Genomic DNA, 24,199 nt, shown 5'->3' with positions numbered 1-24,199 from the left:
GGTCAGTTCCCCTGGACCTGGGTCCTCAACCCTAAATAAAGGAGCTGGGCAGATGATTGCAGCCATCTCTCACTCTCACATTCAATCACTGGGAATTATTTGAAGAGAAATCCCCCTTAACCCCGAGACAGAATGTAAAGAGTGAGCCCAGGATTAGACAAAAACAAAGAATACACAGCATAGTACTTTAACAGCGGTTGTCTCTGGGTAGTGGAATTATTTTTCTCCTTTTTGCTTTCCTGTGCTTTCAAGTTTTCTACTACATTATTCATAAATTACTTTTGAAATTAGGGATACAGTATAGATACTTTAGAATATAATGGGAAAGATGGGTGCCATTGCTCACACCTATAATCCCAGCACTTTGGGAGGCTGAGGCAGGAGGATCATTTGACCCCAGGAGTCAGAGACTAGCTGGAGAAACATAGTCAGACCCCCCCCCCTACAAAAAATTTAAAAAACTAGCCAAGTTTGGTGGCATGCACCTGTGCCACCCAGAAGGCTGAGGCAGGAGGATCACTTGGGCCTAGGAGGTTGAGGCTGCAGTGAGCCAAGATTGTGCCACTGCACTCCAGCCTGGGTGACAGAACAAGATGTCTCAGAAAAAAAAAAAAAAATAAAACAAAATAAAAAAGAACGTAATAGGAAAGAGGACTTCAAATTCAGTAATTCTAGGGCAGAAGCTAAAATGGTTATGATTAAGGTGAAGCCTCTGGATCCCTTTTTTCATCATTAGCCTTGTGGAATAAGGAAAGCCAAGTGGCCCCACACCAACCATCAGGCAGGTTTTGGGGAAAGATGCTGCCTCTCCCACGCCCTATAAGAACCTCCAGCTCAGAACGCTGGTGGTCTTTTTCAGACACTGCTGCTCCCCTCGGCTGTAACCTACTCATTTCTGGTGGGGAGGAGAAAGTGTCCAGGCGAGGAGATGGGATCCCTGCCATCGTTGTCACAAGTCTTCTTCGTCTGCTGGCCCTGAGGCCGGCCAGAACAATGGCCCTGTTCATCTCTAATCCAGATGTATTTTTTTTTCTCATATGGAGTGGGGAGAGGAAGGGAACACCAATAGAGATCACAAGGTCCAGCCTGACTGACGTCTACTCCATGCTCAGGAGCCAAGAACAACCTGGGGGCTGGCAGGAGGAAGGACCCTGCAGGCTGAACCTGGCCCCCTCCACAGACAGGTGACTGGGGCTGGAGGGAGGGGGTTGGGGAGAGGAGCAGGTGAGCATCTTCCTCAGGGGTGAGCGAAGCACTGACTCAGCTTCCTTCTTTCACAGAGAGTATCTCATTTATCTGCAGATGACTGCAGGGAAGGAATCTGGCTGAGCAAACCTCTGTTCTCATTTTCCATTTGAGATAACCAGGGCAGAGAAGAGCTGAACTCAGCTGGGGGTTGGGGTTCCGACACTAGGAGACAACACTGAGGGGATGGAAAGGGTGACAACAGGCCCAGGACACACGTGCCTGTCAGGGTCCTGGTGTGTCCTGGAAAGGGTCAGATGTCCTAATATACAGACATTGGAGCACCTCTGGGTACCCACCATTCAAAGACTACTCCCGGAGAGAAGCCTTGGGGAGAAACATGAAGGGGTTCCCTCACCTCAATCCCAGCCCCAGGGCAGACTCCTGATGTTGAGGCAACAGAGGAAGCCTCACTTTCTAAGCAGGACTCCAGGGCAGCTGGTGGCTCCTACCTGCCTGAGGTCACAGAAGACAGCCCTGAGAGGCTGGTATGCTGGCTGCAGGGCCTTGCTGGCTCAGCAGAGCAAAGAGGAGAGCAAGGAGGCCTCCCAGTTAAAGAGGCTCTGAAGAAGAACCCTCACCGTCACGTGCTCTCTCTGCCCCACAGCTGAATTTTTAGTTTAGCATTGGAACTCTCCCTACCACGGCAATGAAATCTTAAACAGAGACCCAAATATAAAAATAGGTCAATTCAAAGCTGCAGAGGTAAAGGCTCAATGTGCCACCACCTGCTGTCTCCCTGGGCCCCTCCTTGCTCCCACCTGTGTCCCTAAGGCACCTTGCCAGAACCCGAGGCTCTTGAGTTTGAGAATCACTGCTCTGGGCAGTAAGCATTCCAGGTAACACACTGAGATAGGAGCTGCCCATCCTGGAGAGTATCTGTCTTTGGAATAGCTAAGCATACCGGCATGGCACAGGGACTGTTTACCTAAAATGGATCATGAATAAAGTTAAGTGGTACTGGGCAAAGAATGCCAGCCTGGAAGGCTGAGCCGAAATTCACCAGTTCATAGTTGCATTATCTTCAGCATATCATAGAACCTTCCTGGGCCTCAGTTTCCTTATCTGTAAACCTGGGATAATAATTCTGACCCTGCAGAGTCATTTCAAGCACAGGAACCGACACAGTAGACCTCAGCAAACATTAGCTGGACCTGAAAAAATCGGTGATAACTGGTGCCTCAGGTTCAACATCCAACCCTCTGGGCTAAAGTTGGATTCATCACAACGCTGGCTACAAAGAAACTGTTAAGAGATGCTTGTCTGTTCCCTCAAGGAAAACCTTGATCATAAAGCACAAGGCTCGCTTCTTGATTGGTTTGTGCCTCTTAACACATTCTAAGGAACACACCAGCATGAATGAGCTGAGTCTCTGAGGTCACGACCTGTCATTCAGCAACACTATTGAGAAAAAGTCTCTCGCAGACACAACAGTATAGAGCGTTAAGACCTGTATGACTCAGACCACAGGTAGGCTGCAGGTCAGGCCACAGTGTGAGGAATGTCACCTCCCTTGCTCCGGAAGCCATACTTCTTTTAATGCTGCCAAATGTCAGGTTACCTTTTCTATCAGCTATGCCACTGACAACCACACTGCTCTTTTGTAAACCAAAGCCCTGCTCCCCCAGAAAAGCTTTTGACAAATGCTTCTACATCTAAAACTTGTCTAGCTGCTTTTTGGACCCACAAGTAGGGTGCAGAAATGTATTCTAGCTAAATTTCCTGTGAGGGTGCCCAACCATTCTAGCCTTCATATGTCTTTTTGGACCTGATTCTGCACCCTTAAGTATTAACTACCTCTCCTTGCTTCCTGCCATCCACAAATGACACATGGTTCAGGCTGTTGATGAGAATGGTGGGCAAGGTGGAGCACTATTGCATACTATCTCCCTCCAAACTGAGGTGGCCCATTCCACAACAGCACCAAGCACTAATCCCTTCAATAGCACCAAGCTCAAGGGGCTCCATCCGAACCCCGAGGGAATCATGAAAGATGTCTTACCAAAGTCCATATCTATACACAATCTAAATACCCATCATTGAGAGAATGGCCAAATAAAAAGCAATTTATCTGCACAATAAAATTCCACACAACTGTTTAAAAATATGCTAGATTTAGTTGTTCTGAGATAAACATGTTTTTTTCTTAACATCACAAACAATATTCTATTGTTTGCAGCCAAAGAATCCATCCACAGGCATGGAACTGTATGCATTCTGTGCAAATGCATAGAAAAGTCTCGGATGACATGCTAAACTGATGTTTACCGTGAGGAGACTAGGGTTCAGATGGTAATCAAGTATAGCCTTGTCCAAGTTTTAATTTATATGAGAATGCATTCCTTTATTACATGATTAAAACATAACTTTAAATAGTCCGGGTATCTGACATCTAGGGATTTCCATACTCTACCAGTTTAATAATGGTTTCCAAAAAGAGGATGAGGCTAGTATGAAATAACTTGTGTTTAATAAACACTTATCCTCATTTCCTGTCTGGGTGCTTATACATCTCTTTCACAATATGTTCAAGAATCTTCCTTTCCCTTTAGAAAATCTTGTTCTCCAAGACCGGTAGAACTGATGAGCTCTCCGCCCTAAGACAAAATTCATCCAGACTCAAAAGTATGATAATGACGTGGTTGAGGTAAGCAGCTGAGCACGAGAAGAGGCCACTTAGACTCTCCGGAATGATGAGGTCCAGGCAGCTCCGGAGGGGCTGAGGTGGGAGACGGAATGATCCAAGCCATGTTTCAGGGGTTTACAAAGAGCATGTTCTGGAAGCAAGACAGTTAAGAATGACCCTCCAGAGACATCTGGACAGAAGAAATGCAAAGTGAAGGCACTGGCACCCTCCACACCATGCTGGGAATGGGAATAAAACATTCAGTGGGTGACCTGCTCTGAGGCACAGATTAACACTGAAATGAGCAGGCCGTAGACATCTCTTTCAATCAAACACATGCACGAGAGGTGTCAGCCATTTCCTGACACTGATGCTCAAGGTCCCAGGTACCCATGCACCTCTTGGAAGCATCCCAGGGTAGAGAGTTGGGCAGTGCCAGATGGACAGACAAGCTTACCTAGCACCTCAATCATTCAGGAATGAGGTGGGGCTTTTCATCTGGTTGAAGTCGCTGCCGAAGTCTCCATGATGAAGAATATTGCCAGGAATATTGATGTGTAGTGGTGCCACGGAGAAGGAAGCCTGGGGAAGGGGAGTCATGGGGAAGAGGACCCCCTGGGGAAGGGGGCAGGAGCCTTGGAACGGCCACTGGTCTGGAGCCTGTCTCCCAGTTACTGCTTCATCAATGAAATGCTCACCTATTTGGCTATGAGTGCTCTTAGTTTTACTTAACTCCTGACCTCTGCCTTTTATATCAAAATTCTCCATGGACTAAACCTTGACCCTTGATCCCTTACAAAAGAGGATGGAGGAGGGAGTGCTCTTTGTGGCTTATGGCATCCCACCATCCCTGCACAGAGGGCAAGGCTGTGGTTTGTTTACATGATCAATGATCCTGCTGGGCTACATCTGCCTCTCTCAGGAGTCCAGGGATCAAGAATACACCTGGCCCTTCTCAGTGCAGAGGCTTAGGAAAGATATCTGGCTGACTTAAATAAATAAGATGGGGAGTGGAGGCAGGAGGGAGAGGATAATATTCAATGTGTACAATGGGATGCTCACCAGGCTCTAGGCTACTGTCCATTTGCTATGAGTCCTTAGGCATAAGCTTACAAATTCTAGATGTCAATGTAAAATTAAGGGTTAATCTATTAAGATCCCTTCTAACTCTAAGAAGGTAGGAGGGATGTAGAAAAAGGGAGAGTTCCATAGCAGCTCTATGTAAACTTTTCTAGATTTGACATGATCTGGTTGTCAAAACTGATCTCCTAATGTTTAAAGACTTCCTGGCTGCAGTTTGACCCCATAATCCCTGTAATTCCCTAAAACAGAAAGTGAACAGAGAGATGTCCCATAGTAGCCTTAGTGGGTTCATCTCTTTGGCCTATCTGGGAAGCCCTGCAGATCCCCTCTCTTAGCTGAATTGCCTCTCTCATTTGCAAGGTCTCCTGGATTAGCCCAAGTGGGTGGCACTGCTACTGATGGCAACCAGAGGGTTGCAATCAGGCTAAGGGAGTAGCCAGAAGCCTACTGAGCTCCCAGAGTAGGAAAAGGCAGAGACCTGGGGGAAGACAGGAGTTAGGTGTGATTTCTGAGACCGGTGTGAGGTCTTCCAGCCACCATAGGCTCTACAATCATATCATAGTGTACATACAAGCACTTTTAAATCTTTTCTGAAATATGGAGGGAAACTGGAAGGACAGATGGACAATGGATGTAAGGCTCTACTGTGAGGCCATAAACTTGTTCCTGTTTTCTAAATTATCACAGGAAAGCAGACAAAACAAAAGCAGGAAGGAAAGAAAGAATGGGCAGGACACAAGCACCCTCCCTGTGAGGCAGGATAGGTAATCAAGGAAGTGCAGCAACCTTGGTGATCCTATAGTCAACACAATAAGCCTCGGTATTCATATTCTAACTGAGCTCATTCAAGCAAAGCTATCTTCAGTAGGGAACTTCCCATCTAGACAGCCTGTGCACTTTGATTTTTCCTGTCCTCAAACTGACCCCCTGGCTCATTATAATAGTAAAAAACACACTCCTGGGTGGAGATTTAAGATGCTAATAAGACATGTGCCAAATGAACAAGAATGTACAGCTACTACTCATGTGCACCCAGAGGACCACCCAAAACATGCTTACTAGTAACAGCTCTTCCCACCTCCTTATGAATAATCATGTAAAACTCCTATAAAGGGAGTTTCTCCAGCAATAATCAACACTGCCTCATTCGTTTTTGTTTTTGTTTCTGTTTTTTAAGACGGAGTCTCGCTCTGTCGCCCAGGCTGGAGTGCAGTGGCATGATCTCGGCTCACTGCAAGCTCCGCCTCCCGGGTTCACGCCATTCTCCTGCCTCAGCCTCCCAAGTAGCTGGGACTACAGGCGCCCGCCACCACGCCCGGCTAATTTTTTTTTTTTTTTTTTTAGTAGCGATGCGGTTTCACCATGTTATCCAGGATGGTCTTGATCTCCTGACCTCATGATCTGCCTGCCTCGGCCTCCCAAAGTGCTGGATTACAGGCGTGAGCCACCGCGCCCGGCCAACACTGCCTCACTCTTATGAGCAGCCCACCCTGAATTCTCTCTCTCCCGAGGTGTACTGTCTACTCTGCACTTAACTTTCAAAATATTCTTTTTCCTTTGCAATAAACTCCTCAATGCTGCACCGTGTCTCTTGTTTAAATTCTTTTAAACTAAGAAGACAGGAACCAAAGTCTCAAAAGAGCCATCAACACCTGGTTCACTGGGACTCAGGGCTATTCACTCACCAGAGAGCTAAAGGACCCCCACCAAGTATTTCCAGCTTTTGAGTCCAGATCAGCAGGCCAGTGTTCTCTCCCTCCTTGACTTTAACACTTATTTAGATGGGGGCTCCAAGAGAGGGTCAGACCCTCCTAGAACAAAGCTTCTGGCTTCTGCCCAGACATGCTGCCTTTCCCAAAATTGCTGCAGAAAGTCCCACATCACAGGGTTCCAGCAACATCTTACCTTCATCCCAAAGGACTGCATCCGGGTAGCTACCTCTCTCCCAATCCTGCCCAGGCCAAGAATTCCCAGGGTCTTTCCATTCAGCTCTGTTCCCATGAACTGCAACCAAACAGGCAAAAGGAAAGAAGCTGAAGTCAGCAACATGAGTGGACCCCGGGCCCTGAGCCCAGGTGGGGCGAGTCAAGGCCGCTGCTCACCTTCTTCCGCTCCCATTTGCCGTCCTTCATCGAAGCCGTCGCCTGGGGAATCTGCCTGCAAGGATAGACACAGGTTCAGAGGGTCCATTCGGACTCCCGCCAGCCCAGGAAGGAGATGCAACATCAGGTTTGCACAGTCACTGCCCATGACAGCCACTTCCCCAAGAACTGGGTCTGGGGGTTCAGGTTTAGGAACACTGATGGGGGATAAAGGGAAAACAGAAGAGAGAAACCCTTGGCAAGATCTGACTTAGAAAGCCTGGGATTTCTGTGACCAGCCAGGCATCTGGGAGGAGGTATGGATTCCACCTCAGCCACTGAGGCATCAACCAGAGTGAGTTTTTTACTTTAAGCGATCGCCAATCCTCCAGGGTCTGTAGGGATAACTGAGTGGGGTACTGGGCAACTCTGATGACATCGAGTACTCCAGAAGCTCAAGGAATTATTTTGATCTACCTATCTCATCCAGCACCATAACCTATGACGTCTTCTACTATTATGAAGAGGACACCTAATTACCTATGCTTCCTTGAGAGTTTCTTAACCCCGAGGGTCTTAGACTAGTCTGGACCCTAGAGTGGGTGGGTGGATGCCAAAGCCCAGACACTTCCATTCTGTCCTGAATGCGTGGTCCCAACATTTTTAAACATCCGCACCACCTTCCTGTCCCACCACCACCAACACACACACACACACACACACACACACACACACACACACACACACTCTTCACAGCCTGTCTCCTCCTATTAGTCCAGATGGAAGTCTGAGTCTACATCTGTGTTTTCTGGAGGAGACAGAGGAAGTGGCAATTAGGGCAACATTAGAGGTCAAAGGGCGATATATGTCCTGTGGGCATGGGTCATCAACACATCTCTGGAGGCAAAAAAGGAAGATTTGAGAAACAATGTTTAAGGAGCACTTTATTTTAGACATCCTAAAAGAAATGTTTAGACACACATTAACTCCTCTAACATTCACAGCTGCACGGAGGGAGGCACTGGAGGTTAAACAGTTCTCCCCAGATCACCCAACTGGAGGCACTTGAACAGATTCAAAGCCAGCAAAGTCAACCCCAGCACGGCCAGCCTCCTGAGTACTTAAATGTAGGCCTTTAACCTGATGCCAAAAACCTCAGAGTGAGCGAGCGTGCAAAAAGAGAAATCTCAAGCTGCTACTTCCGTGCTTTCACTTCACTAACTTCTAACACAAAAACATTCTCTCATCTCTACACATCACTAGGACATTGATCTCCATCTGAGGGTAAGGCTGAAGGTGGAATCTGTCCTCCATCACAGAGGCGCACGATCTTATGGGTAAACTCAGAAGAACTTCAGTACCAAGCCACATGGGGGACAAGCTGCATTCACCTCACTGCTCTGACCCATCAGGCAGGTAATAAGGACAGGGACTTGCCTTGAGGAACTGTTCACTTCTTGGGAAAGCTTGCCTGATAAAATGCCTTTGACCTAGTGAGACAGAGCCCCACCTGGCCCCTCTCTCCTCTCCCTCACATCCTATTTTCTTCCCACCAGACTCCACAGTGCTATCTAAGATGTATGCGTGCGGCACCACAGAACACAAGAAATCCCTAACCCTTTTCTCTGGCTGCTGCTCCCAGCTGATCATGGAGCCTCTCCAGGTTTCAATGCTTTGGAATCCTCATCAGGCCAGACTGGAGAGGACTCTAATGTGGGCGAGGGTCCTCACAATAATTAAATGGTTGCTGGCCTGACTTACTAGAGGAGGAGATGGTAAAGCAGGCAAAAATGGTGAAACCTACATTTGTTGATTCTCTCCTTCCTTCCTTTCTGTGTGCTGTTCTTCTGCACCTCAGGAGCCCCCGCCATCTGCTCAAAGTCCCTACTGTGAGGCCCAGCCACGCCTGCTCTCCACCCACATTGCCCAATCCTGTAGAGTCTACATATAGGCACCCACACTCTCCTACCGTCCTCCCTGCTAGGAACAGTCTGATGAAACGAACGCATTCCTTCCCAATAGGGTGTGCGTGTTTCCTAGTTTTGATGCACCTTTGATGAGTGAGGTCATGGTGAGCAGTTGACAATGGGGAGCTTCTTTTAAACCACAGCATTTCACCGATTCCTTTAAACAAAGCTGGTCCTGGAAAAGGAGGGAAAGTATTGCTGGCTCCCAATCCTTTCCTTCCACCTCCAGAAAAAAAGTGAGGTAATTAATCAGAAAGCCACATTGAGATCTTTTCCCTTACTCAAAAAAAAAAAAAAAAATCCCTGAAGGTAATAGCTGAAGTGAAACCAGGGTGCCAGGCTTCTGTACTTCTCCAGGGGGAGAGACACTCAGCCTAGATGTTCTGGGAGAACCCGGCTGCCAGCCTGGGGGCCCCTTCTAGGCTGAGACCCTACTGCTGTGTAAGCTATCCCTGTTTCTCCTTTCCCCCCACTGCCTCCTTTCACCTACCAGTGAATATCAGTGAATACCAGAGAGCTCAGATGGAAACTGCAGGGAGGAGTTAGAGCAGAGGTAAATTCCCCCAGATCCTCCTCCAGCAGGAGGGAAAGCAGGTCTCGCCATGGGAAAAGTAATTTCTTGGTCCCGGAAGGTTTCAGGCCTGAGTAGAGAAACAAGGAGTCCTTGATGCCTAGGTCCGCTGGTTTAGGGAATCCATGGAGCTTCAAAGGGACCTAGAACAACTTCCTACCCTGTTTATTGGGAGCCTTGTTCTTCCCCTTGACCACATAAATGCTTGAATTGCCTGTTCAACAGAAGTGCTCCATGCAATCAGTTTTGCCAAATTACTAACCAACACACTGAGACTCAAGCACATTCTGTGCCACAACCATTTGATTTCTAGGCTGCCCCATCCACTCAAGAGGCCTGGAACTCCTGCTAGAAGAGCAAGAGTCTTGCCCATTTGAGTTCCATTGTGTTATGAACCCACAGAACACACAAGGACCCTGAAGCAGGTTCTTACTCCATTCTATTACAATACAGATTTGTAAGGGCAGTGACAGAGATAAGCCCTGAGGGCCAGGGGAATCAGTGAGGGACATAGCCTAGCTGGAAAAGCCAGAGAGCTTCTTGGATAAATTAATACTGAAGCTTAATCTTGAAAAGTAAGCAGAGGGTACCTAGACACTGTCCATACCCTGCTGCCTGGAACATCCTTCCTTGTTATCTCCAGGCAGCAGGGTATGGAGAACATTTGCAAGAGTTGGAGGCTAGAGAAGGCAGATTGTCTGCAGCATGGAGAATAGAACATGAGTAAAGAGAAGTGCACCTTTGTGCACTAGGGAACCTGTGTAATGAATGTTGAATAGAGGACCTGATGGCCTTAAAGGTTCTTTGCAGTCTGCATGTCGCCTTCTTAGCAGTCTGCAAGTCGCTGAGACGAAATGTTTCTAAGTTTTTCTGGGTCCATTTGCTTGGCAAGTGGTAATAATTGGCATATCGGAGAGACTAGCTTTGCTGAGAAGTCAGGGACTTACCTGGCCAGGCACATGATCATTCCACAAGTGAGTTCTGCGGCACTGAGGCTGTTCCCATTGGGGGTGCTAAAGATCAAAGAAAAGGGGGACATCAATGGGCACAGACCCAGTATTCCCACTCCTTCCCCAAGAGAAAGCCTTGAGTGCAGGCTGTGTTCTCTCACTCCTGCTCCATGAACTGACCACGCCACTGTCCAGAGTTCTCTGATGTACTCTCGCCCTAAGCCAAGGGCTGGAAAGAAACCCCCTTCCCCTGGCTTTATGTTTCCCTGCAGAGGGACCTCCATTAGAGAAACATATCTGGCTTCTCTCTATCCAAACACTCCTCCCAAGGCAGAGAAGTGTCTCACATGATCAGATTTGTGTGTGGTTCAGCCCTTTTCTTTCTCCTATTTCAGGATCTACCTGCCTCCAGAAAGCACAAATTCCCTGCTGCTCCTACCATTGATCTTACCAAGGTCAGAGTCTCTCGAATTCAGGGCTCAGTCCAATGCCTACATATCTTCATCAAGTTACCCAACCTGGCTTTTTTTTTTTTTTTTTGACAAGGCCTCGCTCTGTCACCCAGGCTGGAGTGTACTGGCATGATCACAGCTCACTGCAGCCTTGACTTCCCAGGGTTCAAGCAATCCTTCCAGCTCAACCTTCTCAGTAGCTGAGACTACAGGCTGGTGCCAACATACCTGGCTTTTCTTTCCTTCTTTTTTTTTTTTTGTATTTTTGTAGAGATGGGGGTCTCACTTTGTTGCCCAGGCTGGTCTCAAACTCCTGGGCCCAAGTGATCCTCCCACCTTGGCCTTCCAAAGTGCTGGGATTACAGGTGTGAGCCCCCACACGCAGCCCCAACCTAGCTTTTATTAGTAATCTCCACCTGTCTGACTACTCTTCCTATCTCTCAACAAGTTCTGAACTGAGAAAGCCTCCTCACACCCTAAGTCACAGGGCAATCCAGACCCTTCCCATTTTATAAACAAAAAAATAGAGGTGGCAACCCACAAAACTATTTTTCTTTTCTTAAATGCTTTTTAGGTTTTTGAAAGAATTTCATATACGTGTTCACCCTGATTATTCCCCTACTGGGTCTGTCTTTTTCATCTCTGGAATGAAGGTTAATAAGGTTACAAGAAGAAAAAGTCAAGAGATCCTGTATAAGATAAACGGACTCTCAGAGTCTGTCTGCCTGCAAAACCACCTGGCTTCTCATCCTCCCACAGCAAACAGGCTGTATGGGGGCGCAAGTAGAGGTGCAGAGATTGGGGCCTGGCTGCCTCTGGGTCCAAGGCAAGAATGTGGGATGGGTTATCGTTTAACATTTCTGCTGTTGAATATTGACTTCAGTCAGGTGACCAATTAACCTCTACCCTACAGGGGGAAGTGCAGTGCAGGGGAGGGGAAAGGTCTTAAGGACAATGAAGTCCCCAAGGGAAGAGAAAAGTCTTAAGAACAAAGAGGCCTGGGGATGGCCTTGCCATACCATCTAAGTGACAGAACGGGTACAGTACAGCACTGGCGTGCTGATGACCTCTGCCCCTGTGTTTCTGCAGAAACAGCTTTAAATGGGACCCTTCTCCTCTTGCCCTAGAGCACTGAAAGAGAAACTAGTGTCTTAGTTCCAGAAGGTGGCAGGGAAGTGGGGAGGGCAAGGATTCTAGTCATTAGTCTGCTAGCAAAGGTTGTGCCTCTGTACAAGCACAGTAAAGTAGAGCTGACAAAAACCTGCCACAAACAGCATTAATAGAGGCAGAGGGGGCTGGGTGGGAGCAGGAAATGCAGATGAACTCACTGACCTTCCGATTCCTGAACCAGGTCACAGAGGTGCAAGCAACTGCGCATGGGGTGGGCTCGTGAAACATTTTGAGATTATGCAGGGACTCTCAATTTCAAAAACTGTGTAACACCCTGATGGCATTGGTGATATAGTGGTGAGCATAGCTGCCTTCCAAAAACCTTGAAACCACTATGCTGTGTGTGTTGACCATGCAGGCCCTAGACCAGGCATCCTCCTGGAAGCCCTTCCAATGGACTCAGCTTTCTCTCAAGTGAGTTTTTTCTCCCTAGGTGTGGTCAGTCTCCGCACTCACCCCCCTACCCCCAAACCGCCCGCAGCCTCCATGACTTACTTCATAACCAAGATGCCCTTCCTTGTTGCGGCCTCCAGATCCACATTGTCCACACCTGTGCCAGCCCTGCCCACCACCTGGAGTTTCTCAGCTGCGTTGATGACATCAGCGGTCACCTTGGTGGCAGAGCGAACAATAAGGCCTTCACAGTCCTGAAGCAGAAAAAACATTTGGGTCCAGAAAGTCATTCTGTGAGAACTCGTAAAGCCGCAGGCACATCATTGCTTACTCCTGAGTAAGAGATGCATTTCCGGAACCTTAGGAAGTCACTGATGACTGCCAGTTCATAGATATCTTTGGTATACTCACTAGGGAAATGTGGGCTAGGACTCATGCTGATTTTTACTTAGAGTGGAGGAGACTGTGCCTCTAACACACCAACCGCTTTGTTTGGCATGCTCAAGAAAGGGCAGCATTGGCCCATGGGCTCTGGGCACCTGGCTCATCTCTCTAGACAGCACCATGATGCCTGCAGCCTGGATGTCCATCAGACACATGCTGGAAGTCAGGGGCCATCTCCTGTTCCTCTCTGTATACCCTATCATTCCTGCACATTGCTTGCTCAAAATGGGAGTTCCTGCCTGCTGGCTGATTTTGATATATCCAAAGAAAGAAAGGCAATGTCATCTGTCCACACATCTGATAGGTTCTGCCATTGGTCAGGCCTGGGTTCAAATCCAAGGCCCCTGCCTTCCAAGCTATGAATCAGCTTCGGCCTTCTCAAGTGTGTGAGGAACAAGCGAGAGAGAACAGGCACAGCACCTAGCACAGTATCTGGCGACGCTTAATGAACATCACTACCTCCATTAGACACTGAGCTACTGAGGGCAGAGGTGGGATCAAATTCTACTTTGTAAGCCCCTGTCCCTGATACAGGGAAGGCACTCAATAAATGTTGGTTGGCCGAATGAGTAAATAATGAATGAAACGAATGTTGAAAGAAAAACATTTCCTAAAAGAGAGACCAAAGGAAGAGGGGCAGGGGAAAAATGAGAGCAATTAAATTCATCTAGACTTGCTCAGACACCCAGGCAATATTAGACTAAAAATATACATATGCAAAAAATAAGACACTGAATTCATCATAGCCACTATACGTGAGCTAAGTCAGATCCCCAAGACAATCTTCCTTATGCTCACCCAGAATCCTGTGGTATGTGGTTCTTTCCAGAATAAGAATATTCTTGCTCAAACACAGAATGAGAATCCCTAAGAAATGGGGCAGGTGAGCAAGTCCACACTCTGTCCCAAAGTGGCAGACACCAGGCCGGTAAGAAAGCAGCAAGTATGCTTTCAAAAGCACCAAGCTGGGAACCAGGAAGACAGAGTTCTAATCCTAGGTCTGCCAACAATGTGTGGGTCACTGCGGTAATTCACCTCACTCTATACCCCTAGTCTCTACCTGTAAAATAAAAGAGATGGAGCACATGGCTCCTCAGATCCATTTTCCCCGTAGAGCTCTCAGCTGGATCCCATGAAAACCTTCTTTTACCTTCATTCCCACTGCATGGATTCTGGAGATAGAGAAAGGTCATGAGAAGTTGGCTTCTAGGGTAAGGGCCCACACTGTGTTTGTTGTGCACGAGCCTAGAGCATAGGAGCAAATATGGACAAAGTAAATGTAAGGAGAGCAGTGGGTAATTTTATCTCCACTAAGAAGAGAAGAGGAATGATGCTTAGGCTGCAGCATAGAATATTTAAGCCTTAAGAGCTTCTAAACACTGGAAGAATTGTTCAAGAGCAATAGTAGAACGATTCCTCTGGAGGTGTTTATGCATCACACATCCTCACTGCTTGGGGGCTGTGCCTACCAGCAGAGAGAAACATGCAGGCGGCCTGGAAGACACTCCAAATCCTTTTATGTCTGAGGTTCTGAAGCAGAACGTCAGAGTGGGAGATTTGAAGAAATGTTCACCAGCATCTGGTCCAACTCCATTTTACAGAGGAAAAACTGAAGCCCAACAAAGTTAAGCCTGCCTACTTTCCCTTCCCCTCCCCTGTACTTTTCTTCCTTCATTTTATCGGATGCCCGCTATGTACGTATCTGGCATTATGCTAAACTGATTATGACCTGGGTGTATACAAGTCACATGGGCACCCAGGGCTTAGAGGAATCAAACAGAAGCCACCTCAGTGCTGACTGCCCCAGTGCTGAGGCCAACACCAGGTGAGCACCTGGAGGTATTCTGATTTCCCCCCATAGCAGCCTAGTTAAATATCAGCCAAGCCAGGCAGAAACAGGATACTGGCATCTTTTCCACATTCAAGTCCACCACACAGGCTCCAAAGAAAAGGATTTCCCTGCCTGGACACACTTTACTGACTTTTCAAGGTGCAATAAAGTTATCTTCCAGGAAACATTTGCCAACAACCCTGAACTGTCACTCTCCCTACACCCCACCATTTTTGTTGTGATCACCAATATAATATGTTTCATATCTAGTTGTCCTCTCTTAGACCTGCAGTTTTGGTCTCCTTAGTTATATTTTCTATGCCTAATGCAGGGATTTTATATTAAAACTTTATCTACTCTATACCATATATCCATAGTACCAGCCTCACCAGCACATAAACCATTTATTGAGCACCTGCTGGGTACTAGGCATTACACCAGTTGCTTTACATTATTCTCTTCACAACTCCAAGGAGAAGGGGTATAATCATCCCCAGTTTCCAGATAAAGAAACAGAGGCTTTGAGAGGTAACCTGCCCAAGGTCACTCTTACAGATCAAAAACCAGCCAAGAACTGGAAAGTCATTGCCACTGGCTAACTCTGAGACTGTAACTGAAGAAGAGTTGGTAGACCTGCCAAGATGTCAAGAAGATAGGGCCAGAGCCAAGGCCATGGCCAGTTAGGTGCAAAAACCAAACTGTAAAATCCCTTGGAGAGATTTACTAGTAACAATAGCTACCATTTTTTGAGCAAGTACTTTACATCCAGCACTGTGCTTCACAACAATCCTAAGACAGATATTACAATTATCCCTATAGTACAGACAAGCAAACTGACACTTAAAGAATTTAGAGAACTTGCTGAAGTCACATAGCTAGGATATGGCAGAAGCTGGAATCAAGTCCAAATCTGTTGAGTTCCAACTACCTTCCAAATACAGCATTTAGACACCTAAACCAGGAGAGACATTGCCAGAAATCCTGTGGCTTCTCCAAGATGGCAGAAGCTCCCTAACAAAGGTCCCTGGATCTTCTGGTGACCTGCTCCTCCCAGCCAGCCTGCCTACTGGGGGATAATAGAAATAGGCACAAATGCCTCTGTCGAGAAGAGCAAGTTGCCTGTGGCCTGTAGGCAAGCTCACAGTTGATACTTCACAATGAAGTGTTTTATACACTTCCATTGAATAAATGAATTCAGTGATGAGAGGCCGGTAGAAACCACCCTCATCAGTCCCCCATCCTCACACCTTCACCCTCTTTCCCAAATAACTTTAACACTTCACATGCCTGAAAATTGCTCATCAGAAATCCCTTCCTTTGACTGTGATAAGGAGGCATAAGGTCTACTTCTAAGAGTGCTCAAGGATTTTCAAAAATCTTATTAAAAGAAGTTGAAAAAAAGCAGGAAAAACGTTCAGAAATTGACAAATCAGTCAACAGAACTAAATAGACACTAGACAAACAGAATATGTGAGAATTTAGAAAATAAAAAGCAGAACTCAAATTGATGCGGAAAGGAAGAACTAAACAAGAAATAATGTTATGAAAATTCAAGAAGAAAAATAATAGATTGCTACCTCACTTCAGATTTTTAAAAATCCAGATGAATTAAAGAATTTTTAAAAATATAAGCATTAAAAGAAAATGTCAGGGGATATTTTTATGACTCGGATTGGGAAAACCTTTCATAAGCAAGGCACAAATCTTAGAAACTCTGGAAGAAAATATTGACAAATCCAGTTACATTCAAATTTTAAACTTCTGCATGGAAAAAGATCCCATAAACAAAAGCAAGTAGTGGTCCTGATATGTGGAGAAAACTCCTTTCACCATATGTAACAGAACAAGGATTCATCACCAAAAGTGATAGAATTCCTACAAATCAACTTTTTTTTTTTTTTTTTTTTTTTTTTTTTGAGACAGAGTTTCACTCTTATTGCCCAGGCTGGAGTGCAATGGCGCGATCTTGGCTCACTGCAACCTCCGCCTCCCGGGTTCAAGCGATTCTCCTGCTTCAGCCTCCCGAGTAGCTGGGATTATAGGCATGCACCACAAATCCACTTTTTTAAAGGATAAAGAGCACAATAAAAAATAGATAAATATATAAATAGGCAATGCACAGAAGAACTACAAAGTGGTCACTAGTTTCACTAGTTTATAGACTCTTCAACGCTAGATATCAAGGAAATATAGATTTTTAAATATGATATTTTTGGGCATCATTTTGGCAGAAAGAAAATGAATAATATTCAGCATTGGTGAGCATGGAGGGAAACAGGAGTGTACACTGCATGACCTTTTTGGAGGGCAACTGGGCAGTGGGTGGGTAAGCACATTTTTAGTGGTCATTTCTTTGCAGCCAGCACTGACACCTTAGAAAATTGGTAACACACTGAGGAAACACAACCTCCTTTCAAGTGGTCAGCTCAGGACCAAAAGTCAAAGTTCAACTGACAAGAAGCAGGCATGGAGCAAGAGGAGAAGGGACCACCCAGAGTCATCATCTTATCACCTTGTCTCTCTAGCATCAAGTTCCAGAGCCCACATCTCAGGCCCAGTCCTGCTCCAGAGGCTCTACCAATCACTCCCTTGGGCCTTAAGGGTCCATCCTTCTTCAATGTTCTCTCCAAAGCTGCCAAAATGCTCCCCAAACCTTGCAAACCTGCTCCCCACAGGCAACACTAGCTGGAGAGCATGCAGACTCCCCAAAGTCCACCCATTCTTGTAGCCCCTGAACAAGCACAGAAACAGCACTATTGTTTCTTTCATGAGCATGGACTCTCTGGATGGATCTCCCTTGTAAAGATTTATGCTGTAGTCTCTTCACTTTTCCCTCAAACCAGCCTTCTTTGGTGCCAGGGAAACTAAGAGTCCCCAGTCAGACTCCTACAGATGAGCATCAGGTCTCACCTCTCCCAAGGGCAGAAACTGTCACTCAGGAGACCTTGGTCCCACATTAGAACCAGACATCCCACATCAGTCAGAGTTAATGAGCTTCCAAGGCCTCTTACAACCTCAACTACCCACTCTATCCACTCATTCAATCAGCACATATTCACAGACAGCCTGAATCCAACCTACCTCCTGCTGGACCCTCAAAGCCCCTGCACCCAAGCCCCTTCCCTCCTCACGCCACAACGCACCCCCTTCAAAGACTTTGCCCCAAGCTGTCTGCTCCTGTCCTCTACTTATGGAAACCACAGCCCTAACCAAATGCACCCATCTGCTCACATCCTCTGCAGTTTGCGATTAAAACTTCTCCAGTGTCCAGAGATCCTCCCCTCTCTTTGTCATTCCTTGGGTGAGGAAGCAAGTCTCTCTCTACACAGCACCAAATTCTGATGTTCACTGCCCTCTGCGTGTGGCTTCTGTGTCTGCACTGTGGCGGGAACAGGCACTTCCCACACTTCCTACAAGTCCTCCCGCTCCCCTGTCCTTAGCTGCTGTTCAGCTAGAAAACTGCTTGATTTATGGCTGTTCGAGACAAACTGCTAACTCAGCAATGGGAATCCATTGCCATTCCTCAGGTTCACACATGCTTCCTTTCCCAAGGGGACAAGCTTGGCCTAGGAGGTAATTCTAGCATTGCCATGCCTCTGACTTAAATCATAGGGCAAGACAATGAAACTATCCAGGTCATGTTCCCCAGCTATAGGGAAGGCAGGTCTACCCTGTTTTGCACAAGATGTGTGATCCTGATTAATTTGATGGTTATTTAACTTTTGCAAACTAAATCCTTGTGTAAAGGCTGGGAACTTCCTATTTTAAAGAAATTTGAAAAGAAATTTGGCATGGAAAGATTTATTCCCTTCTTAATCTTTCTTCAAGTACTGATATGAAGGTATGGATGTGCTTCAGTAAATTAAATACCATTACCAGTGTTTAGTTTAGTGGTCCTGACCAGCAATGCTACTTAATGAAACAGAAGAAAATACCAGAATGCATCATATGTAAAAAGAGTAAGTATTATTTCATAAAATTTGTGTGTGTCTGTGTGTACACATATGTATGAGTGTTTAAGTTATGACATAAAACAAATTTCTTATTGTGGGTCACAGTCAAAGTTTAAAAGCCACTGATACATGGTAATATTATTTAAATATTTTCCGGCATATTAGGTATATTTAAGATGTGAGTTCCAAACAAGATGCTTTATTATTTTAAGCCAACGTTTTCCAAACTTTTTTGACTGAGGTTCATTGTAAGAAACACATCTTTGTTGGTGGAGGGGTGGGACAGGGTCTAGCTCTGTTGCCCAGGCTGGATTGCAGTGGCGAGATCATGGCTTACTGCAGCCTCAAACTCCTAGGCTCAAGCGATCCTCCCACTAGAGCACCAGGTTGGGAAGAGTGACAGCAACCAGGGCCTCAGCCCTCCACCCCATCCCCCAGTAGCTGAGACTACAGGCTTGTGCAAGATGCTTAGCTAATGTTCGTATTTTTTGTAGAGACAGGGTTTTGCCATGTTGCCCAGTCTGGTCTCAACCTCCTCAGTTCAAATGATCTGCCTCCTTTGGCCCCTCCCAAAGTGTTGGGATTACAGGCGTGAGCCACCGCGCCCGGCCAAGAAACACATTTTTAAGTTGTAATTTCATACTCACATGCCACACACATACAACTACACAACATAAATGAAACAAAATTCATGAAACAATACTTACAACCTTACTATCTATCTGCATTGCTGTCTGATATTTCCTACTTTGTTTTTTAAAATGCTCGTCATGACCCCTTAAACTGAACTATGACTTGCTCCAAGTCTGAAAAGCACCACTGAAAGGGCAGGGAGGAATGATTGTACTTCCTGACCAGGGGGTGAGTGAGAGGAGACCGCCTGCCCAGAATACAAGGCAGTGGGAACCAAGGCCAGGCCCGGTTCTAGCAACGCTGCCGAAGCTTCCTTCAGCATTAAAGAGACTTCAGTGGGGGAGGGCAGGAGACACTATGCCAGACACCTCTTCATGCAGAATAAAAAGGCATAGTGTAGAAATGAGGACCCTTCAGTGGGCTGACCAAGGAGATTAATTGGCATTCTGAACCAAATGTGTTGCAAAGACAGACAAGAAAGCTGAGCCCTCCCAAACAGTCCAAAAATGCCCAGCAGTCAAGTTAGCCAACAAACACTCCTCCTCTCCTGCCAAGAGTTTTCAGCGCCTTTAAAATGTTCTCCAAGTTTCAGCACCAGACTCCCAGCATCCACCCAGCTGATTCCTGACTTCATGGAACAACCCCTCATTATGGATGAGGCCTCCCATTCCTCTCAATTCTGCCCTCATCCCTCCCTATCCCCACCCCCTCACTGGGGTATCAGGTTTCTAATTTCCTTTAGAGAGGTGAAAGCACTTGATTGCCACCCTCTTCCCAACCTGGTGCTCTGGTGGAGGTGAGAGTCAGAGGCTGTTCTGCAGGACACCCCACTGCCTTTCCTGGTTGTTCCCCAGAGCCACTGATACAATTTCACACAAGAAAGGAGGTGACAGATGTGAGGAGCCTGCCACCCGTCCAATCCTACTCAAGTCCTAAGCCCTTGCCCACCAATTCTGTGCATGATGATTGGACCTTTCTCTGGCTTTTCCAGAAGGGGAACACGCAAAGGTTAGGGAGCTGGATGGTCTAATTCGGGGCTATGCTCTTGTGTCATCTGCTCAACTGTCTCCTGCGTATTAGCCATGCTCCCTAACCAGCTTACAAACTTCTTGAAGGCAGGGACCAAATTCTTCTGAGTACAGGGCAGAGCTGGATACTTGGATATAGTGTCATGCCATGGTGACAAGATCCACGCCAGCAGATACAAAGGCAGACAAAGTGAGCGAGGCAGTTTCCAGGACCACGTGGTTGTGGCACAACTAAAGCAACAACAGCAGCCTCTGCGGTCTAAGGGGTCCTCGGAGGAGGAGACGGCTGAAGGTGGTGGACAGGGCTGAGGCGGGCAGAAGGCGGTTGTGCGATTTGGAGGGTGGGGGAGAATATACTGGATCAGGTGAGGTAGAGACTGGGCAGCTGGGTCGACTACAGAGGTCGAAAGTGCAGGCACTGGAGTGAAGAGTTCACAAAATAAATATTCCGGACAAGGCCACCAGGCCCAGCAGGCCTTTTCAAACACGGTGGATAAAGATTTGAAGTAGATTAATTATATATCACAACAAAAGGAGATAAAAATTTGCTAAGACTATAAATCATCTGGGAGCGTTTGGGATCGGATTCTAGTCGAGTCTGGTCACTCCCAACCAGCGATAAACCAAAGGTGGGGAGGAGGCTAAATCTGGACCCCAGCGCTCCCCGCCCGCCTCCCTTTCCTCCGAAGGCTCCCAGGAGGCAGAGGGGCGGCGAAAGCACGGAGCAGTCTTGCATCAGACGAGGGGCGGGTACGTGTTTGCTGCCTTACGAGGGCTGCCTTCCCCTCCAGCTGCCCCAGCAGCCACCAGACTGGTTGGGTCTCCGCCAGCTTCCCCCCGCCCCCCGACCCCCCCAACCCCGCCACCGCCAAGGCAGGCTAGAATCGGCGGGGCGGCCCAGAACTTGGTTGGGAAGAATCGCCAGTCCCTGGGTTCCCCGCAAAGAAGCCACTTTGGGGCCCCTCTCCCGATCGCCCCGCGCGGAGGCGGTTGGGGGTTGGGGGAGAGGCGGCGCGAGGCTGCCAGAACAATTGCGCGCTAAGGCGCTGGGGCGCCGCGCTGGCATCCCGCGCTGGCATCCGCGAGCAGCCTGCAGGACCAGTTGGAGCAGCCCGCACTTTGCAATGCTAGCGGAGGCATGCCAACGTGAAAGACGCGGTTGCAAACTAAAAGAAAAGTTTGCATCTCGCCGCCGTTTGTTCTTCCCTCTTTCTGCCTCCTCCCGCCCCCGTTCTTCTCTACCCCCCAATCTCAGGAGGCCCCGGAACTAATTGATACGGGGTGCATGCGAGGGGGGCGCGCTGGCCTGGGCGCAGCCAGCCTTTTTCCATGGAGGTTGCCCTAGAGACCTCAATTTTCTCTCTCTCGCCTTACCTGCAGCTCCGCTATCAGCTCCTCTTTGCTAAGGTTCTGCTTTTCCACCACCTGCAGCCCTCCATCTTGCAAGATCTTCCGGCAGCAAGGGTCCAGGCTGTCACTGATGAGCACTTTCCGCAGATTTGCAAAAGCCATTGCTGGAGTTGGCCTCGGAATCGGCCGCTGTGAGTAGAAGTACCTAAGCCAAGAAGCTGCGGTTCGGCCTGGCGCGCTAGAGTAACTGGGCAGTATTCTCCAGCTCCCGCTCCCCAGTCATCTCCTCCTCCTCCTCCTCTTACAGTCTCCTTTTGATTGGACGGAAATACTCAAACTCTCCGCGACTCCGCCTCCTCCTCGCGGCTCTGAGGTTGCCAAATCCCTGCCCGCTTTATTATCCTCCCGCGATGAATTTCTCCATCTCAGCCAAAGCTCTTACCTACACCTGGTGAGCATATAAAAAGCACAATTTACGCTGACTAGCTGATGCATATCTGAAATGAACGGAGAAATACACCTCATCCTGAGAGAAAAACTTCATTTTCACTTTTCCTCCTAAGGATTCATTTATTAATTCCTTACGAAATTTTTTTTGAGTGGGTAAATGTGCAAGGCACTGTGCTAGACGTTGAAGGGAATTCGACTATCAAAAAGAAAATGTCCAACAATGATAGACTGGATTAAGAAAATATGGCACATATACACCATGGAATACTATGCAGCCATAAAAAATGATGAGTTCATGTCCTTTGTAGGGACATGGATGAAATTGGAAATCATCATTCTCAGTAAACTATCGCAAGAACAAAAAACCAAACACCGCATATTCTCACTCATAGGTGGGAATTGAACAATGAGAACACATGGACACAGGAAGGGGAACATCACACTCTGGGGACTGTTGTGGGGTGGGGGGAGGGGGGGAGGGATAGCATTAGGAGATATACCTAATGCTAAATGACGAGTTAATGGGTGCAGCACACCAGCATGGCACATGTATACATATGTAACTAACCTGCGCATTGTGCACATGTACCCTAAAACTTAAAGTATAAAAAAAAAAAAGATACATCCTCTTTCCTCTGGTGGCCTAACATCCTAGAGTACCAAACACACAGACTTGGAAAGTTACGTAGTGAAAAGCAATAGGAAGCTTTCTGAGACACCAAGGAGCTGTGATTAATTTCAAATTAGTGATGCAATGAGAATTATGAGTTTATAAAAGAGCGGGGACCTGGTGCATTTAAACTAGGCATACTTTGTTAAAGTTATTTATTTCCTTTCCCTCCACTTCCTCTCTAATTATGAAAAAGAAGAAAAGGAAAACGGGATGTCAGTGTGGTTTAATTGACCAAGGAGGCACTTCTCAGCTCTTAACTCTTTTATATTTAAACCCCATAACCGACGTGCTCTCTCATGCCCCATTTTACAGAAATGTCAGAAAATTCAATTTGGGATTAAAGTCACCTAGAATCAGAAGCAGAATCAGAGATGCTCATAGTTGAATTAGAATTCAGCTTTATGGACATATCCAGTCCAACTAACCATTGTGTGTTATGTCATCCTGAGCTATTCATAACTCAAGTGCTAGATCCTTATCCTACAGAACTATGCAATATCAATTCTATAAAGTAATGAAAATTCTATACAGATAATTCCTGGGCACAAATCAGATTTTTAGACACAATGTCCTCAGTGGGTAAAAAAAAAAATTGTCTATCATGTTTGCTTGTTCGGATGAATTGTTATTCCTACATTCCAAGACTCATGAGTATTCAAATTCTCTGTCTCTCTTGAAGTGCCCAGCAGTACCCTGGAGTCTAGGGACAGACAGGGGACCTATCCCAGGAGGCTTAATGGAGGGTCTTGGGAAGCATCCATTTTTGTAACTGCTTTCCTTCAACTCCTCCCAGGGCTCACTAACTGCTTCCTTTCAGTGTAGAATCTAAACCCTGCTATCATTAACATGTAATCCCACCCTTTCACACCAAGTCAAACTTCTTGGATACTGTCTGAACGCACAACCCAGAGGGCCTCCTAAGCCTGATCACCTGTTTTCTTTATTTATTATTTATGACCCACCTACTTTTTAAACAGATCCAAGCCACACAATAAAAGACACTTCTAAACCGTTAAGAAAATAATTAACAGATTAAGAGTCCATTTCCAAGTGAAAAGGAGGGTGTGTGATAATTGTTACATAAGTCAGAAATGTTCCCTCCTTTTAAATTTCTATAGAATTAACTTCAAGTTATCTCACAGTGCCTTAAGCAATATATTTATGAACTTTTCATGTCTTGTTCCCCATGAACTCTCATTTCCTTAAATCAGAGACACGATTTTGTATACCCCCAGTAGTGCCTAGCACCATGCCTTCCACATCACAGAGGCTCAGAAGAGGTTTGATTCAAAAATTAAT

At 46.7% G+C, this 24,199-nt stretch overlaps 1 protein-coding gene and 1 long non-coding RNA gene across 9 annotated transcripts in view, besides 5 other annotated features; one reads left to right on the top strand and one right to left on the bottom strand.

Moving 5' to 3' along the window:
• Nucleotides 1-22,028, bottom strand: part of PHGDH (phosphoglycerate dehydrogenase) — a 32,282-nt gene extending 10,254 nt beyond the window's left edge. Inside the window, exons 1-8 of one of the 8 annotated variants that reach the window (XR_007058634.1) lie at nucleotides 21,802-22,028; nucleotides 12,641-12,792; nucleotides 10,521-10,586; nucleotides 9,513-9,643; nucleotides 9,087-9,177; nucleotides 7,057-7,111; nucleotides 4,329-6,958; nucleotides 3,563-4,022 (exon numbers count right to left, since the gene is read on the bottom strand). Coding sequence is in view for 7 of the 8 variants with exons in the window: in XM_011541226.3 (XP_011539528.1) it covers nucleotides 6,860-6,958; nucleotides 7,057-7,111; nucleotides 9,087-9,177; nucleotides 9,513-9,643; nucleotides 10,521-10,586; nucleotides 12,641-12,792; nucleotides 21,802-21,939 (732 nt within the window). In the remaining variant the exon portion in view is untranslated. Of the gene's footprint in view, nucleotides 1-3,562; nucleotides 4,023-4,328; nucleotides 6,959-7,056; nucleotides 7,112-9,086; nucleotides 9,178-9,492; nucleotides 9,644-10,520; nucleotides 10,587-12,640; nucleotides 12,793-14,042; nucleotides 14,085-20,501; nucleotides 21,051-21,103; nucleotides 21,232-21,801 lie in introns of those variants that run through there. The other 7 variants (XM_011541226.3, XM_011541227.3, XM_047417680.1 and 4 more) reach the window with 7 other exon arrangements.
• Nucleotides 21,376-21,475: a silencer, noted in NCBI's record as "silent region_1248". NCBI's record gives its function as "represses an Ori minimal core promoter by ATAC-STARR-seq in GM12878 lymphoblastoid cells {active_cell/tissue: GM12878}" and the evidence as "EXISTENCE:reporter gene assay evidence [ECO:0000049][PMID:35858748]".
• Nucleotides 21,616-21,705: an enhancer, noted in NCBI's record as "active region_1598". NCBI's record gives its function as "activates an Ori minimal core promoter by ATAC-STARR-seq in GM12878 lymphoblastoid cells {active_cell/tissue: GM12878}" and the evidence as "EXISTENCE:reporter gene assay evidence [ECO:0000049][PMID:35858748]".
• Nucleotides 21,707-22,236: an enhancer, noted in NCBI's record as "NANOG-H3K27ac-H3K4me1 hESC enhancer chr1:120254349-120254878 (GRCh37/hg19 assembly coordinates)". NCBI's record gives its function as "activates a minimal SCP1, AML or CMV promoter by ChIP-STARR-seq in naive H9 embryonic stem cells {active_cell/tissue: H9 hESC(naive)}" and the evidence as "EXISTENCE:reporter gene assay evidence [ECO:0000049][PMID:30033119]".
• Nucleotides 21,756-22,035: an enhancer, noted in NCBI's record as "active region_1597". NCBI's record gives its function as "activates an Ori minimal core promoter by ATAC-STARR-seq in GM12878 lymphoblastoid cells {active_cell/tissue: GM12878}" and the evidence as "EXISTENCE:reporter gene assay evidence [ECO:0000049][PMID:35858748]".
• The window catches only part of LOC105378937 (uncharacterized), a 30,521-nt gene continuing 28,437 nt past the window's right edge, over nucleotides 22,116-24,199 (top strand). Inside the window, exon 1 of the long non-coding RNA XR_947757.4 lies at nucleotides 22,116-22,228. This is a non-coding gene — a long non-coding RNA (uncharacterized LOC105378937). The remainder of the gene's footprint in view (nucleotides 22,229-24,199) is intronic.
• Nucleotides 22,176-22,225: an enhancer, noted in NCBI's record as "active region_1596". NCBI's record gives its function as "activates an Ori minimal core promoter by ATAC-STARR-seq in GM12878 lymphoblastoid cells {active_cell/tissue: GM12878}" and the evidence as "EXISTENCE:reporter gene assay evidence [ECO:0000049][PMID:35858748]".

Source organism: Homo sapiens, chromosome 1, assembly GCF_000001405.40.
Source record: "Homo sapiens chromosome 1, GRCh38.p14 Primary Assembly".
Taxonomy (NCBI): domain Eukaryota; kingdom Metazoa; phylum Chordata; class Mammalia; order Primates; family Hominidae; genus Homo; species Homo sapiens.
This window is presented reverse-complemented; position numbering and strand designations above follow the sequence as displayed.